This window comes from Homo sapiens, chromosome 2 (genome assembly GCF_000001405.40).
Source record: "Homo sapiens chromosome 2, GRCh38.p14 Primary Assembly".
NCBI classification, from domain to species: domain Eukaryota; kingdom Metazoa; phylum Chordata; class Mammalia; order Primates; family Hominidae; genus Homo; species Homo sapiens.
Genome location: NC_000002.12, coordinates 25,266,890 through 25,285,207, shown reverse-complemented (window position 1 = coordinate 25,285,207; position 18,318 = coordinate 25,266,890). Strand labels below are relative to the sequence as shown.

The window sequence follows — 18,318 nt, the reverse complement described above, 5'->3', positions numbered from 1 at the left end:
CTCAGGCTGTGCACTTGAGTGGTGGGAAACTCTGGAGGGAATTTGGCAGTATCTCTGCACATTTAGCTGGACAGGCCCTTTCACCCGGCCTGACCACTTCTGGAACTCCGTCCCATGGAAACACGCAGCTGTACAGAGCTGTAAGTGCAAGGGTGTTCACTGCAGTGAAAAGCAAATCAGCCCAAATGCCCACCATCAGGGAACGGCATGCATACATTTTGGAGCATCCAGATCCATCTGCACTGGGATGGAGGGATGCCCACTCTGCTTGTTAAGTGAAAAAGCAAGTTGCAGAACATTACGACTAGTATGATACCCTTTTGGAAAAAAACATTTCTGGATCTGAATGTGTATATGAATACATATGTATAAACATGTAACTTACACATGATTGTCAATGCATAGGAAAAAATCTGGAAAGGATGCTCACTGAACTGTTAATAATGGGTACCTTAGGGGAGAGATTTTGGGGGTAGGGAGCTGAAATAGGAGCTTTAACCTTTTAGCATTATTTTTTTTTTTTTGTATAGTCTTTTTTTTTTTTTTTTTTTTTTTTTTTTTTAGATGGAGTCTCACTCTGTTGCCCAGGCTGGAGTGCAGTGGAGCAGTTTCAGCTCACTGCAACCTCTACCTCCTGGATTCAAGTGATTCTCCTGCCTCAGCCTCCCAAATAGCTGAGATGACAGGCATGCACCACCACACCCAGCTAATTTTTAGTAGAAACAGGGTTTTGCCATGTTGGCCAGGCTGGTCTCAAACTCCTGACCTCAGGTGATATGTGAGGGAGCCTGCCTCAGCCTCCCAAAGTGCTAGGATTATAGGCGTAAGCCACCACGCCTGGCTACAGTTTGATTTTTTTATGATATATGTGACTGACTTTTATAAGTAGAAAAAAAAAGACAAGAAAGACAAAATCTCCATTGGTCTAGACCAGTCATCTCCACCTGACAGGTGGGGAAACTGAGATGCTGAGAGCAGTGCCTTCCTTATCTGAGGCTTGCCGTGCTGATGCTGTCCCTGCCTTTCTACTGGGTAGGTGTTCTGCATACGGAGCCAGCGAGGCAGAGTTGCTGAGTGCAGCCTGGTGCCTGTGGGTGTGGCAGAGTGCCGAGCCATGGGGACCCCTGCCTGTTCCTGTCCCACACTGGACACCTCCATTCTTCTTGAGGTGTCCTGGCCCACTTGCCTCTGGATGGCTGAGGACTGAATATATATACACAGCAGAGCACACAGCAGGCACCCGGCTCTCCTGCTCTTGCTTTGTCCTTGCAAAGCCTGTGACCTGGAGCAAATCACAAAATTCCAGAGAGCCTCAGGTTCCTCACCTGCTTCCCAGGGAGGCTGAGAAACTCTGAGGAGGTAGTAAGTGAGGAGCTTTGTCCACTGCGCAGTGACACACACAGACAGCCAGGATTATTCTTTATTTGATTTTTATTACCTGGAACCTTAGCGAGTTCAGTTCTTAGACTCTAGGGGATAAAGAAATGATTTCCCTTGAAGGGAGAATGAGAGACCCCAGTGCTCAGGAAGAGTTGTTGCAGAGCCTGAAAACTGTTTGCCAGAGCCTTGGCTCTTCTGGGTCTGAGTGCCTGAAAGAATCTGGGGCGGCCCAGGCCAGGGGAGAAGGCTACGCTAGGCTATGAGCCTACAGAATGGTTTTTTGGGGGTCCTCCTTCGACTCTCATGCCTCAAGAGACCAAGAGGAAAGCTGGGAGGGCACTGACCACAGAAGTCAGACCAGCCTGAGTCCCAGACTTGATCTGGTGGCACTGGAATCTTCTAAGGGAGAGGGGGGTCTTATTGGATTATGGGTGGCACAAGGAGCTTTTTTTTTTTTTTTTTTTTTTGAGGCGGAGTCTTGCTCTGTCGCAAGGCTGGAGTGCAATGGCGTGATCTCGGCTCACCGCAAACTCTGCCTCCCAGGTTCAAGCGGTTCTCCTGCCTCAGCCTCCCGAGTACCTGGGATTACGGGCATGCACCACCATCCCCAACTAACTTTGTATTTTTAGTAGAGATGGGGTTTCTCCATGTTGGCCAGGCTGCTCTTAAACTCCCGACCTCAAGTGATTCACCTGCCTCAGCCTCCCAAAGTGCTGGGATTACAGGTGTGAGCCACCACGCCTGGCCGGAGCATTTCTTTTTTAACAGGGGCTGCAGAGAAGGCTTGGACGTCCTATGTAACCTCAGTGAGTGGCGGTGGGATGGGGGAGCCGATCCCTTGAGAAGTGCAACCAGGCTGGCAAACCTGCTTGGATTCTTTTCCTGTTTCTGAAGCTGGAGTCCACAGACTCGTGATTTCAAGGGGTCAAGCCCAGGAATCCTTTGATGTTGAAAGCAAAATTGTGAATGTATCTGTTTGCATGAAGGTTTATATGAACACAGTTTCTGGACAGAAAGTGCATAACATTCTCTAGAATTTCAGAGCGGTCAATGATCCAAAACAGGCTAAGCCCACTGATCTAACCCTCCTCTTGTGTATCTTTCTTACATTTGCAGGTGGAAAGCGGTGACACGCCAAAGGACCCTGCGGTGATCTCCAAGTCCCCATCCATGGCCCAGGACTCAGGCGCCTCAGAGCTATTACCCAATGGGGACTTGGAGAAGCGGAGTGAGCCCCAGCCAGAGGAGGGGAGCCCTGCTGGGGGGCAGAAGGGCGGGGCCCCAGCAGAGGGAGAGGGTGCAGCTGAGACCCTGCCTGAAGCCTCAAGAGCAGTGGAAAATGGCTGCTGCACCCCCAAGGAGGGCCGAGGAGCCCCTGCAGAAGCGGGTGAGTCCTCAGCACCAGGGGCAGCCTCTTCTGGGCCCACCAGCATACCCTGAGAGTCAGGGACTTGGCTCTCCAGCAGGTCCCAGGAAGGATGGTCTGGGTCGTGGCTAAAGGTCTGCTTGCCAAGGCTATGGCCTGGAGGCTACTGGCTGGATGCAGCCTGCGCATATGTTTTATTTGGCCCATAGAGTGTTTTAAACATTTAAAAAATTAGTTGCCAGTATTTAAAAATCAAAAAATTTCACATAAAAATCTGGAGTTTTGGCTTCTCATGAAAAAAAAAAAAGCTAGATCTGGCAACAGCGGGCTTTCATAACGCCAACGATTGCTAGACTGGGATAATGGCGGTCCCTCCATCGCCTTCTGTGGCTGGTTGTGGGCCTTAGTTTTCTGCAGCTCTACCTGGCCTGCTTACTCTCCCACGTGCCATGCAGTTCCTGGGGGTTGCTGTATTTGTAGCCCCTGGCCTGGGCACTCAAGGGCAGCAGATACCCTGTTTGCCTCCCTGAGTGCAGAGGTCCTGAGCCCACCCTAGTTGGGCTGACTCAACTGGAAATTTGGTTGTGACAGTGGCGTGGGGAGAGGGCTGGGTGATTGTATTCTGTGTACTGCCCAGCCCAGGCCTCTTCATCTGGGGACTTTTTGGCCTAACCCTGGAAGCCTGGAAAGTTGCCCACTTTTCTCTTTCAGGTTAAGCCAGCAATTTCAGGGCCAACCGAGCTGTAAACATGTTAGTAATGAGGACAACTAGCATTTGTACAGGGCTTCACAGTTTACAAAGCGCTTTCTCATACATTATCACATTTGATCCTCCCAGGGCCCTGCCAGGTTGTTTTGCATATGTGCATTTTAATTTCAAAAAGTCTTCCTTCCAAGCGTGTATGATGAAATGAGTAAATTGATTAATTGGCGTAACTTATTTTGCATGGATCCAACCTAATGTTCATGCAGGATAGAGAACATTTCCAGAATACAAATTTCCAAACTTATTAAGAAGCTTTTATTCATTTATTATTCGACAAATATGTATGATGCTCCCACTATGTGCAGAACACTACAGAGGGAATCTGTATTAGTTGTTTTATTTACTCCTCTAACAATCTTATTCAAGAGATATGATTATCCTCATTTCAGGAGAAAAATATTGAGGCTTAAAACAATGATGTGACTTGCTCATGGAGCCCCAACCTTAAGTGGCAGATCCAGGGCTCATTCAGTCCTGGTCTTGTGCCTTTCTACTATTTTCCGCTGTCCTGGAATGGGACTTGGTGCGGAGACGGGTCCTGAATTGTCTAGGCCTCTTGCACATATTCTGATACTTCCCGAGAGTGGGAAGGGCCTGAGGGGAGTGAAACAGATGAGGAAAGGGAGAAGACACCATCCTTCCCATTAACAATGCCAGGTGTGTGAGAGAACCCATCAGCCCTGCCCTTCCAAATGTGGTGCTTCCCATGGGCTGACTGCAGTTGACTTCGCTTCCCAGGACCCCACCATGACTCCTGCCGAGCTGCTACCCAGGGTCACGGCATTCCTTCCTGCCCTGAAGCATGGAGCCATAGCCCCAAAGCTGTTCTCTGGCCTTGAGGGTTTGTTTTCACTTTGGGATTTCCCTACTTCCATTTCTAGCTGTTCTCAAGGGCTCCTGCATCGATCAGTCAACAGGTGTTTCTTAAAACACCCATTCAGGGTGTGCTAGGATCCATACCAGGGACTGGGGAAACTATTATGAACAAAAACCTGCTTCTTGCCCTCAAGGACCTCACAGTCAGCTGGAGAGACAGACATTAATGAGAAATCCACCCTTAAAAAGATGAGATTACACATGGAGATAAGCGCTCTAAGGGAAGTGAAACATGTCCAGGGGAACTGCAACGAAGAACCTGAGTTGGCCTGGGCTGTCCAGCGCGAGCTGAAGGGCGAAGGGAGTCCACTGGGTGAGGGGTAGAGGGAGAGAGTGAGAACAGGGAAGAAGGCTCCCAGGTGGGAGGGAGCAGGGCACCCAGGGAACTGATAGATGTCACAAGGCTAGAGTGCAGAGAGCAAAGGAGAAGGGTGTGGAAAGTGCTGGGGCAGACAGGCCAGGCCTTCAAAGGTGGCTGCCGGGGTGGGGGGTGGGGGGGCGGGGAGGCGGGGGGTGGGGAGGCGGGGAGTGGGCAGTGTGTGTGATGTAATCAGCTTTGCAATTTGAAAAGCTCATGTCATCTGGATCCTGGGATGGAATGGAGGAGCTGGGAAGCAGGATGACATCGGAGGGGCTGATGAGCAGGATGGCAGCAGAGATGAAGGGAGGGGACAAATGCCAGGAACATGAGAGGTGAGGGAGAGATGCTGTCAAGGATGATTCCTGGGTCTGGGACTTTCAGACAGGTGGATCTTCCTTAGAATCTTAGTGCTGAGTGTGGTGGGCAAAAACTCTTTAAGTCTCCTTGACCTCCAAAATTTGGCCTTGAGGCTGGGCACAGTGGCTCATGCTGGTAATCCTAGCACTTTGGGAGGCCCAGGCGGGCAGATGACTTGAGGTCAGGAGTTCGAGACCAGCCGGGCCAACACAGTGAAACCTTGTCTCTACTAAAAATACAAAAAAAAATTAGTCGAGCTTGGTGGTGCATGCCTGTAGTCGCAGCTACTCCGGAGTCTGAGACAGGAGAATCACTTAAACCCGGGAGGTGGAGGTTGCAGTAAGCCAAGATTGTGCCACTGCACTCCAGCCTGGGCAATAGAGTGAGACTCCATCTCAAAAAAATACAAAAAAAAAAAACAAACTTTGGCCTTGGTACACTCCTGTGTGGTCCCAGCTATCCAGGAAGTATAGATTCTGGCAGGGATCAGAGCTGGTAGGATCCCTGAAGGCCACTGCACTGCCTGGAAGCTGAAATTGGTGAGATGTTACCTCGCGGGGTGGGCAGTGGCCTAGGCTCTGCCAATATGCAACGGACAGTGGCTTAATCAGGGTGTGGAGGCTCGGTCACGGTTCCAGCAGTCAGCTGACATAGAACACATGCTCAGCTGGTTGATTCAGATGAGGAAGGAGACTAAGGCCCCGGAGAGGATGTGGCTCGGCCGTGGTCTCCTTTCAGTTCCCCTTATTCCAGGTCTCTTTTCAGGGGATGCTCTCCTGGAACCCCTTTCATTAGCTCCTGTACAGCAAAAACAGACTTTTTAAGGCAGCGTTTCTTGTAGCCTGAGCATGTGCTGAAAGTACAGCCAGGAGAAAGAATCAGGAAGACGGGAGATGATGAGATGAGTGATAGGGACAGGAGCCAACACCCGACAGGCCTGTGCTTGTCTTGGGTCTGTTCCTGCCCCCGCCAGCATTAATGCCATAATGATGATGATTCAGGTGGCAGTGGCGATGTGGCTTTCCCTTATTGAGTATTGACTGTATTGGGCATTCTCTCTCCTCGCTACTCACAGTGGTCCATAGACCAGCAGTGTTGGCAGCACCCAGGAATTTAGAAATGCAGAATTCCAGGCTCCACTGAAGACCTGCTGGATCAGAATCTGCATTTTAAAGAGGGCCTCATGCTTCCCATGTATATGAAAGTTTCAGAAGCTCTGCTGTGTATTATGCCCCATGTGTGATCACGGGAGGAAGATTTTTTTTTTTTTTTGAGACAGCGTCTCATTCACTCTGTCGCTCAGGCTGGAGTGCAGTGGCACAATCTTGGCTTACTGCAACCTCCACCTCCCAGGTTGAAGCGATTCTCCTGCCTCAGCCTCCGGAGTAGCTGGGATTACAGGCGCCAGCCACCATACCTGGTTAATTTTTGTAATTTTAGTAGAGACAGGGTTTCGCCATGTTGGCCAGGCTGGTCGTGGACTCCTGATCTCAAGTGATCTGCCCACCTTGGCCTTCCAAAGTGCTGAGATTACAGGCATGAGCCACTGCACTCAGCCTGGAAGACTCTTATTATCCTCATTTTTCAGATGGGGAGACTGAAGCTTCAGAAAGGTTAAATTACTTACCCAAGATTATGCAACTGGTGAGAGACCGGATTAGGGTCAGCACAAAACCCCTCTCTACTCTGAGCATAGGGCCCCTTTTCAGGCCAGTGACTGCCCTCTGAGGTAAACCTGGCTACAGCCTGGTCATGGAGATTTGAGTTCATTTTAAAGAGAACTTGGGTGGCCTCTGGCTGAGTATAGCTCAGACTCGAAGGCGAGTGTTAGAAGCACCCTGGCCTCCCCTGCCCCCAAGTCCTGAGATGCACTAGGGTCATGTTCGGGCCTGTCAGGGCCACACTGGAAGGTCACAACCACCTGGCCCTGGCGGTGACCCTGGGCCTGGGCCAGGAGCAGTTGGGCTGCATAGGCCGTACTGAGAGAGCAGCTGACCCTCCCTGACTCACGACAAGTGCCGCATTCCGAGGCGGCCCGGCCAGGCTGGAAAGCGTGTGTGTCTGTGTGTGTGTGTGTGTGTGTGTGTGTGTGTGTGTGTGATCACTCAAGTGGGCATGCGCAGAGTCTGTCAGGGAGAAAATTCCAGAAAGAAGCCAGTTGGAAACTGCATAGGGAAAAATCGTTCTGTTTTGGGGAGCTTGGGGGGCTGGGAAATTAGGAAGGGGGTCACATTGAGAAATAACAGTAGTGGTGCAGCGGAGAGGGAGCTTGCCGGGGCATCAGGACCCCTGAAAAGCTCATCTCAGCTCCGGCCTTAAGTCACTCCACCCCCCAGGTCTCAGCTTTCTGCAAAATTTAAGTGCTGAACAAGTACTCAATGATCTCTGCAAAGCCTTTCAACCCTGATTTTCTAATATTCTAATGAATAAATAATTATCCGTAAAAGTAATTAAATGCCATGGAGGGTCCCAAGTAGGAAACGTTTGAGGTTCTAAAGCGGGCTGGGGAGAAAATGCAGTCGGAAGCCCCAAGTCCAGGTCCGAGAGCCAGCCCGGGGGTCCTCCACTCCCCGCCCTAGCCGCAGGGCTGACACAGTGGTTCCCAGCGCCACCGCGAGCCCCGGAGCCCCGCCGCGTCAGGGTCCGCCGGGACCGCCAGGCCGCCCCCAGGCCGCCACCTGATCGCGAGCAGGCGCCCCCTGCTGGGAGCCCGGGGCCTCACCGGGCAGAGCAACGAGGTCTGGGAGGAGGGGGAAGCCCTGGCCTGGGAACGGGGAGGCCCCGGACAGGCTGGAGGGGGCCCCCGCGAAAAAAGTGGGGAGCTGGCTGTGGTGGGAGAGAGGACGGAAAGGAAACAGGGAGGCAGAGCCAGACAAGATGGGTGAGACAGCCCTTAAAAGGCCGGTCACGAACAAAGCGCTGGCGAGTGCGCGCCCGCCCACGCGCACAGGTGCCCGCGACAAGACGCCCCGTCCCCGCCCACGCGGCCCCCGCGGGCTGAGCCCGGCGCCAGGCCCGCACCCACGGTGGCCCTCCTGCCTCCCTCCCCCTGGTGCTCCCGGGCCTAGCTAGCGGGAGTCGCTGTCACCAGGGACAGAACCACGGAGGACAGCGCTGTCCTGGGCGCCCGGGGTCAGCCCAAAACCAGTCCAGGACCCCCCTGTCACGAGGGAAGGGAGTGGCCTCCCGGGCTGAGGACCCGCGGCGTGAACACTGTGGCTGGCTTCCGCTTCACAGCCAGGAGATGAAGTCGGGGCTGTTTTTTCCGTTTCAGGCTCTTTGTCTCCCCCCACCCCAAGCTACCATGAGCCAGCCTTAGTGACCTTCCTGCAGTGGGCCCAGGCCCGATACGCTGTCGGTTCCCGACAAAGAAGCTCAGGGGCCCAGGTGGAAGGAGGGCTCACTTCCCCACCTCCAGCAAGAAGCTATGGGAGGCAGAATCAGCCAGCCCCGCAGCCTCCGGGGCGCTGGGCCTGGAAGGGGTGCCTGGAAAGGGTGGTGAGGACCTGGTGGGGAGTGCAGGGGGATGCCTGGGAGGAGCGCAGCTCCCCTCATGCTGGGGGCTTGGAGAAGCACAGGGAGAGGGCAAGGTCTCAATAGGGAAATTGAGACTTCCCTGCCAGGACCTGGAATCAGGGCCCAGTAGAGGAAATGAATCCTTAGGGAAGGAGAACCACACTAACATGTATTGAGCACCTACAGTATGCCAGGCCCCACAGTAGGCACTTAATGCTCACCATAACCTAATGATTTTAGAACATTTATCTACCTTGATTCAGTGGGAAAACAGGCCAGGAGAGGTTACAGAGGTCACACTGGAATCCAAACTCAAGTCTTCTAGATTAAAGGCTGAGCTCAGGGGCCTGAGCATGGGGCAGGGAGTGGAGGGACGGAGAATGAGATTAGTAATAGAATCATAATATTTGGACCTGCAGGCGGACCTTGGAAATCGCATCCAGCATCCTTATTTTCCAGATGAGGAAACTGAGTCTCGTAGAGAGGAAGTTGCTTCACCGGGGTCTTGTTCCAGTTGGCCCGGTACCCACCGCCCCCCAGTACATGCCCTTATGCCCAGAAGGCCTCTGCAAACACTCCCTTGCAGGGCCAGGGAGGCCGCTCAGGCTGGCCCTCTGGCCCAGGCCTTCCTGCACCCCCTCCTCCTTCCGCACCCCCTCTGCCTTCCTGCTCCTCCTTTGGGGAAGGAGGTCTCTTGACTGGGAGCAGCAGAATGGGGGTATTTTTAGTCCCCTTCTGTGTACCTGAGACAGAGTTGACAGGCCAGAAACCCAGCTCTGAATTTCCTCGTGTTCCCTCTTGCCTGGGCCTCAAGGCCTGCCCCTGCCCGAGTTCTTTCTCTGCCCTAGGCCCTGCTGGGTCCTCAGGGTCAGCACTGTGCCTGGCATGTGGTGGGCCATCATATTTAACACATGAACAGCTAAACGGCCAGAGGACCCCCATCCCCTGTGGCAGGGACCCCAGGCACAAGGTGGGGCCTGTGAGCCACTCCAGTAATTCTGCCGACCAACGAACTGGTCCCTTTGTTCTTCCCTCTCCACAGGCAAAGAACAGAAGGAGACCAACATCGAATCCATGAAAATGGAGGCAAGTGTTCCACCCCCAGGGGCTCTGTGGATCCTGATTCTAGAAGAAGGACACGGGTGGCGAGTGTGTGTGAGGGGGCGGAGGGTGGGCCCCTCCTCCTTCTTTACACATCCCTCTGTGGGAAGGAGAGGAAGTGGGCGTGGAGGTTGGAAGTCCCCCAACAAGGCAGCCGGCTCATCCCCCTCCAGAGGCCAGACGCCTCCCTTCGTGGCCTGTGGCCGTGTCCATGTGCCCCCCCACCCCCGCCACACATGCCCCTCGCTCCTCCAGCCCACACGGGGCCTGCCCAGCACTCCCAGGGGTGCCCTCTCTGGCCAGGAGCCAGTGTCCACATTGTGTTTGAGGCGAGTGCCTCCTTGGTGGGTCCGTCAGTGCCCACCCTAATGCCCTAATGTCTGTCTCTCTGTCCTAGGGCTCCCGGGGCCGGCTGCGGGGTGGCTTGGGCTGGGAGTCCAGCCTCCGTCAGCGGCCCATGCCGAGGCTCACCTTCCAGGCGGGGGACCCCTACTACATCAGCAAGCGCAAGCGGGACGAGTGGCTGGCACGCTGGAAAAGGGAGGTGAGGCGCCTTCTGGCCTGGGCCCCAGCCCGTCCTGCAGAACTGGAAAACCAGAAGTGATGGGCCTCAGTTTCCCCTTCAGGCTAACCCTTAGAACTTACTGGGAGCCTCTTAATCTCTAGTCATGATGACTGGTTCATCTGCTCCTTCAGCAGATGCTTATTGAACACTTACTGTATACCTGGCTGTGTACTAGACCCTGGGCGTATACGGTTCCTGCTCTCATGGAGTTGACATTCTGATGGGGGAGACAGGCAGAACATAAAGAAACAAGGGGCTGAAATAGAAGATAGCAGAGGCCTGCTTTAGTTGGGGTGGTCAAGACAGGCTTCTTGGAGGAGGTGGCATTTCAGTTAAGGTCTGAAGGAACCGAAGAGCTGGCTCTGTGAGGAGTGGGGTCAGGGAGAGTGTTCTAGGCAGAGGAAACAGCACCAGCAAGGCCTTGACTTGTTTGGCAAACTGTATGCCAGGGTGAAATGGCAAAGGAGAAAGGGCCAGATGCAGCCAGAGAGGCAGGCGGGGCTCCACACATCAGTTGGAGACCTGCAGAGTCTGCCCAAAAGCTGGCTTACTTCTGACAATACTGGGCAGCCATAGAAGGTTTCTGTGCACAGGAAGGATGTGATGTGGATTTGAGAGGCAGCAGTGGAGACAGAGAAGAGCTTTGGGGTGTATTTTGGAGCTAGAATAGCTAGGGCTTGCTGATGGACCGGCAGGGAGGGGAACTGGTGGACTCAAGGAGGACTCACAGGGGTCTGGCCTGAACACCTGGTGATGGTTGTGCCATTTGCTCAGATGGGAAGACCCAGGGGAGGATGAGTTTGGGACAGGTGGGAATTGAGGGCTCCGTGTGAGATGCCAGGTGCCTGGAGTCTGGGCTGTAGGGAAGTACGGGCGACAGAGGTGGGATTTGAGAGCAGAACCCTGGCATTTAAATCCATGGGAACTTAAGGGCTCAGCAAGGGGAGAAGGAGGAGAGACGAAGTCTCAGAACATGTCCATGAAAACCCCGACATTTCTGGGCCACATGGAGAGGAGGAGTGGCAGGCAGTAGGGACTGAGGGAGAAAGCAGTACAGAGCGGTGTCTGGGGAAGCACGGGGTTTTCCCAGAGGGTGGCTGCCCAGCCCTAGGGAAAGCTGAATTCACTGAGACATGCCCATGGCGTTGGACAACCTGGAAAGGAGCTGGTGACTTTATAGAGAAGCTTCTGTGGGGGTCGGGGAGGTGGGAACAGCCCGTGGAGGGCTTCAGCCATGCAGAGAGGTGAGAAAATGGAGGCTGAAAGACTGAGGAGGGAAATCAACTCGCCACGCACAATTTTTGAGCTGTCTTGTATGTTTGATTAGTAGAGAACTGGGTACAAAGAGAAGTGGGTGGTGACCTAGCTGCACAGGAAAAGAGAGGAAACTGCCACCACGTGGGGCACTTCACGTGAACTCAGCTCTCATTTCGTCTTTACCCCAGGCCTCCAGGGGAAGGCGGCCCTGTTTGTCTGTTCGCCTTTGTGTGAGAGCTTTCTCTAGAGAAAGTGCAGAACAGAGGCCAGGCGCGGTGGCTTACACCTGTAATCTCAGCACTTTGGGAAGCTGAAAGGAGGTCAGGAGTTCGAGACCAGCCTGGCTAGCTTGGTGAACCCCTGTCTCTACCAAAAATACAAAAAATTAGCCAGGCGTGGTGGCTCATGCCTGTAATCCCAGCACTTTGGGAGGCTGAGGCGGGCGGATCACCTAAGGTCAGGAGTTCGAGACCAGTCTGCCCAACATGGCAAAACCCTGTTTCTACTAAAAAGACAAAAAATTAGCCGGGCATGGTGGCAGGCGCCTGTAATCCCAGCTACTCAGGAGACTGAGGCAGGAGAATCACTTGAACCCGGGAGGCGGAGGTTGCAGTGAGCTGAGATCACACCACTACACTCCAGCCTGGACAACAAGAGCAAAACTCTGTCTCAAAAAAAAAAAAAATACAAACAATTAGCCAGGTGTGGTGGTGCGTGCCTATAGTCCCAGCTACTCAAGAGGCTGAGGCAGGAGAATTGCTTGAACCCGACAGGTGGAGGTTGCGGTGAGGCGAGATTGAGCCACTGCACTCCAGCCTGGGCAACAGAGCAAAATTCCGTCTCAAAAAAAAAAAAAAAAGAGAAAGTGCAGAACAGGGTGGGGGTTCTGGCTGCTTGATTGTTTTCTTTTCCTCTGGGATCCAGGAAGGCAGAAATTACTTTCCCGGAAGAGCCCGGAGAAAGGGCAGCCTGTCTGAGGTCTGGGAGGAGAGGCACTTACCCCTGTGCGTGGAATGTTGTGTTTGGGGTGGAAATTCAGGAATGGGGCTCTTCTCTCCAAGTCAGTCGCTGCACTCCTGGGTTCCCCGCAACCCAGAAACAGGGGCTTTGCTTTTTAGCTCCTGGTTCTGTGAGCGAAGTGTTTCTGTTCTCATTTAGCCCTGGGGCAAGAAGCTTAGACTATGACTTTTAGGAACCGGAAGAACTTTCAGAAATTCCATGATTCTCAAACTCTGCTCCCTTGAAGAAGCAGTATGGAGGCCTGCCCTCAGTTACAGTGAAAAAAAGGGTTCTTTCCTCAACTCCCAGGAAAAATTAGATCATAGATACATTTTCTCAATTTTAGGTCTCTACTAAAATTTAAAAAGACTTTTTTGGGCTGGACGCAGTGGCTCACACCTGTAACCCCAGCACTTCGGGAGGCCGAGGCGGGTGGATCACCTTAGGTCAGGAGTTTGAGACCAGCCTGGCCAACATGTTGAAACCCCATCTGTACTACAAATACAAAAATTAGCTGGGCATAGTGGCGGGCACCTGTAATCCCAGCTACTTGGGAGGCTGAGGCAGGAGAATCACTGGAACCCAGGAGGCAGAGGTTGCAGTGAGCCGAGATTGTGCCACTGCACTCCAGCCTGGGTGACAGAACGAGACTCTGTCTCAAAAAAACAAAACAGACTTTGTAAAACTCATGAACATTTTCTAACATATGCAGAAGCAGAGAGTAGTGTAACGACCTCCCATTGCCATCACCTGGCTCCAGCAATTATCAAAAGATTTTCTAGTAAGTCTTCAACCCTTGGCATTTGCATCCCCACTCCCAACCAATGAAGGTAGCAGTGGGCATTATTAGAAAAACCAAAATGTTGATTTAATTTAAAAGACTTTAGTACACTTGACTTGCAATGTGGAGATCTCCAAACAAAATATATTTTCTGCTAATAACATTATTCCTTATTCCTATGCTGTAATTAAAGAATCCATGAATTCCAGTACAAGTTTTAGAACTACTGATCTCATTTTCAGACTAGGGGACTTGGGGCTACCGAGTTTTATAACTGGCCACAAGCTCCCAATGAAGAATTGGGAACAGGACTAGAATGGAATTAGAATTTACGTTTCCTATTCCAATGTGGGGCCCAGGCCCTGACTGTCACACAGTCTCCTCCTGGGCTATGCCTGGGGTTAGGAAGGGGCTAGATGCAGGTATCAAGAATGGGGAAAACACAGGTAGCTTTCAAGATTCCCAAGTCGCCCTCAGACTCAAGAGTAGTAGCTGTTGCTATCAGGCCTGTTTTCTTTGTTTGTCTGTTTTTGAGACGGAGTTTCACTCTTGTTGTCAAGGCTGGAGTGCAAAGGCTGGAGTGCAATGGCTCACTGCAGCCTCCGCCTCCTGGGTTGAGGCGATTCTCCTGCCTCAGCCTCCCGAGTGGCTGGGATCACAGGCACCTGCTGACACACCCGGCTAACTTTTTGTATTTTTAGTAGAGATGGGGGTTTCACCATGTTGGTCAGGCTGGTCTTGAACTCTTGACCTCAGGTGATCTGCCCGCCTTGGCCTCCCGAAGTGCTGGGATTACAGGCATGAATCACTGCACCCGGCCTATCAGGCCTGTTTTTGTTTTTTGGTTTTTGTTTTTTTGAGACGGAGTTTCGCACTTGTTGCCCAAGCTGGAGTGCAATGGCACAATCTCAGCTCACTGCAACCTCCATCTCCCAGGTTCAAGCGATTCTCCTGCCTCAGCCTCCCGAGTAGCTGGGATTACAGGCGTGCACCACCACACCCGGCTAATTTTTTGTAATGTTTTCTAAGTGGTGTAACAACAGCACAGACATTTCTCCTCTTTTCTCAGTCTCATTTTGCTCTCTGACATTTGAGCCCTTCTGAAACTGCCTCCCTGGGCCTTCCCAAGGCCGCTGCAGGTTCCTCCCCACCTCCTTCAGCTGATCTCAAGCGGCAACCTCTGTTAGCTGCATCCCCAGATCTCCACCCCCCACCCTCTGCCAGTGTTGATCCACTGACCCCTTACCCACCCTCCTAGATCCAAGTACCCTCCTCCTCCCAAAAAAGGCACCTCCCCTCCTGACAAACCACCCAGCCTTCAGGACCCAGCTCCAGCTGTTCCCCAGGCAATATCACTTGAAGGGCCAGCCAGCGCTTCCTAATCTCAGAATGCAACGCCTGCAACCTTTCATTCAGGGCACCTTTACTGAGCCGGTTTCCAGAAGCCTCCACAGCTGAGTGACATGTAAGATACTGGGACTACCAGAGGCATAGAGGATTCCTAGTTTTCCCATGATAGGATGAGGGCTCATAGCACCTGCAGAAAGAGCTGCCCTGAATGGGGCGTAGACGAATGCTGCCTGGGGTCATCTACGCATCAGCAGGGGTGGCTTCTGGCTTTTGACGGTTGAACTGGAATTTAGGGGAGGGCTGAGGAAGGCATTTCAGAGGGAGGAATACAGCAGGCACATACCTCTCGAGGCACAAGACACTTGGGCTTTTCAGGAATGGGAGTTTGTTGTGGTGGTGCACAGCGGGTGTGGGCAGAAAGCAGCTAGGAAATGTGGCTGGAAGGTGGGGCAGGGGCCAGAAGGAGGAGCTGCCACCAGACCCCAGGCTGCACCAGCCCTTCCCCTAGGCTGTGTGCCCCACCTGGGGGGCTTCTTCCCTGGGAACGCACTCCCCAGCTTAACTTCCTTCTCCTTGCCCACCCTTGTTGGACCACAGTTACTGAGTGAGCCTCTCCCAGATTACCCCCTTCAGGCTTTCCCTCCCCCAAGATTTAAGACGACTCAGAATGTCACAAAATGAAAGAAATGGAAAATAAGTGAACGGGGAAAATGAGACATTTCTGCAGTCCCTGAGGCTGAAGTGAGAATTCCTGCTGGAGCTGGGAAGGAAGTTGTTGTCTTCTGTCTGTTCCATCTCCTGTTGCTGTTCCTTCACCTGCTTACTAGTCCTGTAAGGACTAAGCTCTGTTTTAATCATGATCACACCCTGCCATAGAACCTCCAATGGCTCCCCATTGTCTCCCCCATCATGTCAGATACCCTCTGGCTATTTCTCAAGTCTTCAACCCTTCGACCTCCACAATCAGCCCACCCCACTTTCACTACAGTCCTCTAATAGAAGGGTGTCCCCTAGGAAGGGACATTGCCATGCTCCTTCCTTCCTTCCTGTCATCGTTCCTGCTGTGATTTCCCCAGTCCATTCTTCAGGGTTGAGGCCAAGAGCTGCTGCCTCCTCCAGGAAGGTTTCCAAGATTTCTCCAGTCCACAATGACCTCTTCCCTTCCCTGAATCCCTGTAACCCTCACTGGGGTTTGTTTGTTTGTCTGAGACAGTTTCACTCTGTCTCCCAGGCTGGGGTGCAGTGGTGCAGTCTCTTGGCTCACTGCAACCTCCACCTCCCAGGTTCAAGTGATTCTCGTGCCTCGCCTCAGCCTTCCCAGTAGCTGGAATTACAGGCACGCACCACCACACCCAGCTAATTTTTATATTTTAAGTAGAGATGGGGTTTTGCTATGTTGACCTGGCTGGTCTCGAACTCCTGACCCCAAGTGATCCGCCTGCTTTGGCCTCCCAAAGTACTGGAATTACAGGCATGAGCCACTGCACTCAGACTGTCCTTACGGTTAATATTACTTAGCACTCAATCATATTTCATCAGGGTATTTTTCACTGTTTCTTATGTGTTGATCACATCTTCCTCTGTCTGGCCTAATGCAATGGGCAGGGAGAACAGGCCCAGTGAATACCTGCTGGCTGGCTAAGCAGTTGGGAGGTAGGTGAATGTGGGACCACTTCTCTGGGAACATGAGATCTTAGATTTCCACCATGACAAGGGCCCACACACTTGATTTCGAGGTGGTTTTTCCAGGGGTGCTGACAGGTGTACCTGGAGGATGGCATGGGGACTGGTATGGACAGCCTCCATGGGTAAAGGGGGGCCAGAGTCTCCTCCATCCTGTATTCCTGCCATTCTCACCAGGCTTCTGAGCTGAGGAGAACCTTCCTTGGCCTGGCAGAGCTGGCCAGGGCTGTGGGGAGGGCAGGGTAGGGCAGTTCCTCCTCCCAAAGGAAGGCACTCCCTTAGCTCCTCTTCCTTCTAATTCTCAGAGCAAAATGCACTCTGATGGAGGGCTTGAGGGTTAGGAAGGGCCTCTCGCTTCATTAGCCCTCCCTGTAGCTCTGCAAGGCAGATGAGCACAGAGACCCAGGGTCAGTAGCTGGGCGGTCATCTCGCCTGGGAAGCCACTCACTCCAGTTTGTGTCGCGGCTGGTGGTTTTAGGACTCAGTTACAGCACATTGATGGCATGACTCGCTCATTAATCTCTTCACCCCAGCCGGATTCTAAATTCCGTCTAGGCAGCGGGTACCATGTCCTATTGTTCTAGGATCTGGTCTCTTTCCTGCTTCCGACCTGAAGGTAGGGACCCTTGACTCATGCATCCTTATACTTATTAGATGCTTAATAATATTGAATAGTGATAATGAAACATCTGTGACTGGAACATCATAGTCTCTCCTCCCTTCCCTCGCCACACTGAGATACAACCCACTCCCTCCGCCCAGGGCTGCCCAGCAGATAGCAGAGCCTTCATGGACCTTAAGGGTTGGCTGCTGTTTACTGCGACCTTTGGAGGCAAGTTCAAATACTGCCTTAAGAAAGGTCCCACTTACTGGGTGTGGGACCTTAGGCATCACTTACCCTGTACCCCAGCTGAGGTTCCTCCTCTGTGGATGGACTTGGCTGTACTCTGCATCTCCATGACAGCAGCACTCGCCAGCTTGTTTTCTGCCTCTACCCATTTCTGCATTTAAGCTCGTTCAATACAGGCATTCTGGGCACCCCCTGCCCCCAGGGCTGGCATGTGGGAGGTGCAGGGTGAAAGTGTGCTGAATGAATGAACAATTCTTATCTCAGAGTTGTGTGGACAACACACAACATTTAAAGCTCCTAGCACAGAGCTAGCATATAATAGGAACTTTATAATTTTTTAGAAAGTATTTTAAATTACATAAGTATTACACAAATACATTCTTGTGAAAAAGTCCGCCCAAACTTGCCACCCCAAAATTTTATTTTGAGACAGGGTCCTGCTCCATTGGCCAGGCTGGAGTACAATGGCATGATCATGGCTCACTGCAGCCTCAACTTCTTGGCTCAGGTGATCCTCCCACCTAAGCCTCCTGAGTAGCTGGGACCACAGGCATGTGCCACCACACTTGGCTAATTTTTAAATTTTTTGTAGAGATGGGGGTCTCCTTATGTTGACCAGGCTGGCTTTGAACTCCTGGGCTCAAGCAGTCCTTTTGCCTCCACCTCCCAAAGTACTGGGATTACAGGCATGAGCCACCACACCTGGCCTGAAAATTTAATTCCTTCACCAGAAATACTTGATGCTATCAGTTTGGTGTAACGTCATGATTTTTTCCTATCCGTGTGTATGCGTGTAAATATATAATTTTGCTTCAGGGGTTCTTTTTTTCCTGTTCTTTTTACACAAATGGAACCACACTGTAGTTTCATTTTACAGCTTGGTTTTTGACTTCCAATAAGTCTGTGCAATCTAGCCACGTAATTACTATTATATTCCACCATGTGGATTCCCATGGTTTTATTTAGCCATTCTGTTATTGGTGGCCATTTATGTTGTTTATGATATTTTACTGTTTAGCATTGCAGCGGTGAACATCCTTAGTCATACCTCTTTGTGCATCTGTTTCTCTAAGACAGATACCTAGAAAGAAAAAGGCCTAGCTGAAGGGA

At 52.2% G+C, this 18,318-nt stretch overlaps 1 protein-coding gene across 12 annotated transcripts in view, besides 8 other annotated features; it reads left to right on the top strand.

Moving 5' to 3' along the window:
• Positions 1-18,318, top strand: part of DNMT3A (DNA methyltransferase 3 alpha) — a 114,717-nt gene that overhangs the window by 57,383 nt on the left and 39,016 nt on the right. For 8 of the 12 annotated variants that reach the window (NR_135490.2, NM_022552.5, XM_005264175.6 and 5 more), the window contains 3 exons: positions 2,497-2,767; positions 9,665-9,708; positions 10,121-10,267. Coding sequence is in view for 11 of the 12 variants with exons in the window: in NM_022552.5 (NP_072046.2) it covers positions 2,497-2,767; positions 9,665-9,708; positions 10,121-10,267 (462 nt within the window). In the remaining variant the exon portion in view is untranslated. Of the gene's footprint in view, positions 1-2,496; positions 3,757-7,815; positions 7,988-9,041; positions 9,145-9,664; positions 9,709-10,120; positions 10,268-18,318 lie in introns of those variants that run through there. The other 4 variants (NM_175630.1, NM_001320892.2, XM_047443592.1 and 1 more) reach the window with 3 other exon arrangements.
• Positions 6,565-7,154: an enhancer, noted in NCBI's record as "H3K4me1 hESC enhancer chr2:25500923-25501512 (GRCh37/hg19 assembly coordinates)". NCBI's record gives its function as "activates a minimal SCP1, AML or CMV promoter by ChIP-STARR-seq in primed H9 embryonic stem cells {active_cell/tissue: H9 hESC(primed)}" and the evidence as "EXISTENCE:reporter gene assay evidence [ECO:0000049][PMID:30033119]".
• Positions 7,155-7,744: an enhancer, noted in NCBI's record as "H3K27ac-H3K4me1 hESC enhancer chr2:25500333-25500922 (GRCh37/hg19 assembly coordinates)". NCBI's record gives its function as "activates a minimal SCP1, AML or CMV promoter by ChIP-STARR-seq in naive H9 embryonic stem cells {active_cell/tissue: H9 hESC(naive)}" and the evidence as "EXISTENCE:reporter gene assay evidence [ECO:0000049][PMID:30033119]".
• Positions 7,155-8,276: a biological region, named in NCBI's record as "H3K27ac-H3K4me1 hESC enhancer GRCh37_chr2:25500333-25500922".
• Positions 7,647-8,276: a silencer, noted in NCBI's record as "silent region_11251". NCBI's record gives its function as "represses an Ori minimal core promoter by ATAC-STARR-seq in GM12878 lymphoblastoid cells {active_cell/tissue: GM12878}" and the evidence as "EXISTENCE:reporter gene assay evidence [ECO:0000049][PMID:35858748]".
• Positions 8,335-8,926: an enhancer, noted in NCBI's record as "H3K27ac-H3K4me1 hESC enhancer chr2:25499151-25499742 (GRCh37/hg19 assembly coordinates)". NCBI's record gives its function as "activates a minimal SCP1, AML or CMV promoter by ChIP-STARR-seq in naive H9 embryonic stem cells {active_cell/tissue: H9 hESC(naive)}" and the evidence as "EXISTENCE:reporter gene assay evidence [ECO:0000049][PMID:30033119]".
• Positions 9,550-9,769: an enhancer, noted in NCBI's record as "active region_15445". NCBI's record gives its function as "activates an Ori minimal core promoter by ATAC-STARR-seq in GM12878 lymphoblastoid cells {active_cell/tissue: GM12878}" and the evidence as "EXISTENCE:reporter gene assay evidence [ECO:0000049][PMID:35858748]".
• Positions 11,658-12,158: an enhancer, noted in NCBI's record as "H3K4me1 hESC enhancer chr2:25495919-25496419 (GRCh37/hg19 assembly coordinates)". NCBI's record gives its function as "activates a minimal SCP1, AML or CMV promoter by ChIP-STARR-seq in primed H9 embryonic stem cells {active_cell/tissue: H9 hESC(primed)}" and the evidence as "EXISTENCE:reporter gene assay evidence [ECO:0000049][PMID:30033119]".
• Positions 14,653-15,243: an enhancer, noted in NCBI's record as "H3K27ac-H3K4me1 hESC enhancer chr2:25492834-25493424 (GRCh37/hg19 assembly coordinates)". NCBI's record gives its function as "activates a minimal SCP1, AML or CMV promoter by ChIP-STARR-seq in naive H9 embryonic stem cells {active_cell/tissue: H9 hESC(naive)}" and the evidence as "EXISTENCE:reporter gene assay evidence [ECO:0000049][PMID:30033119]".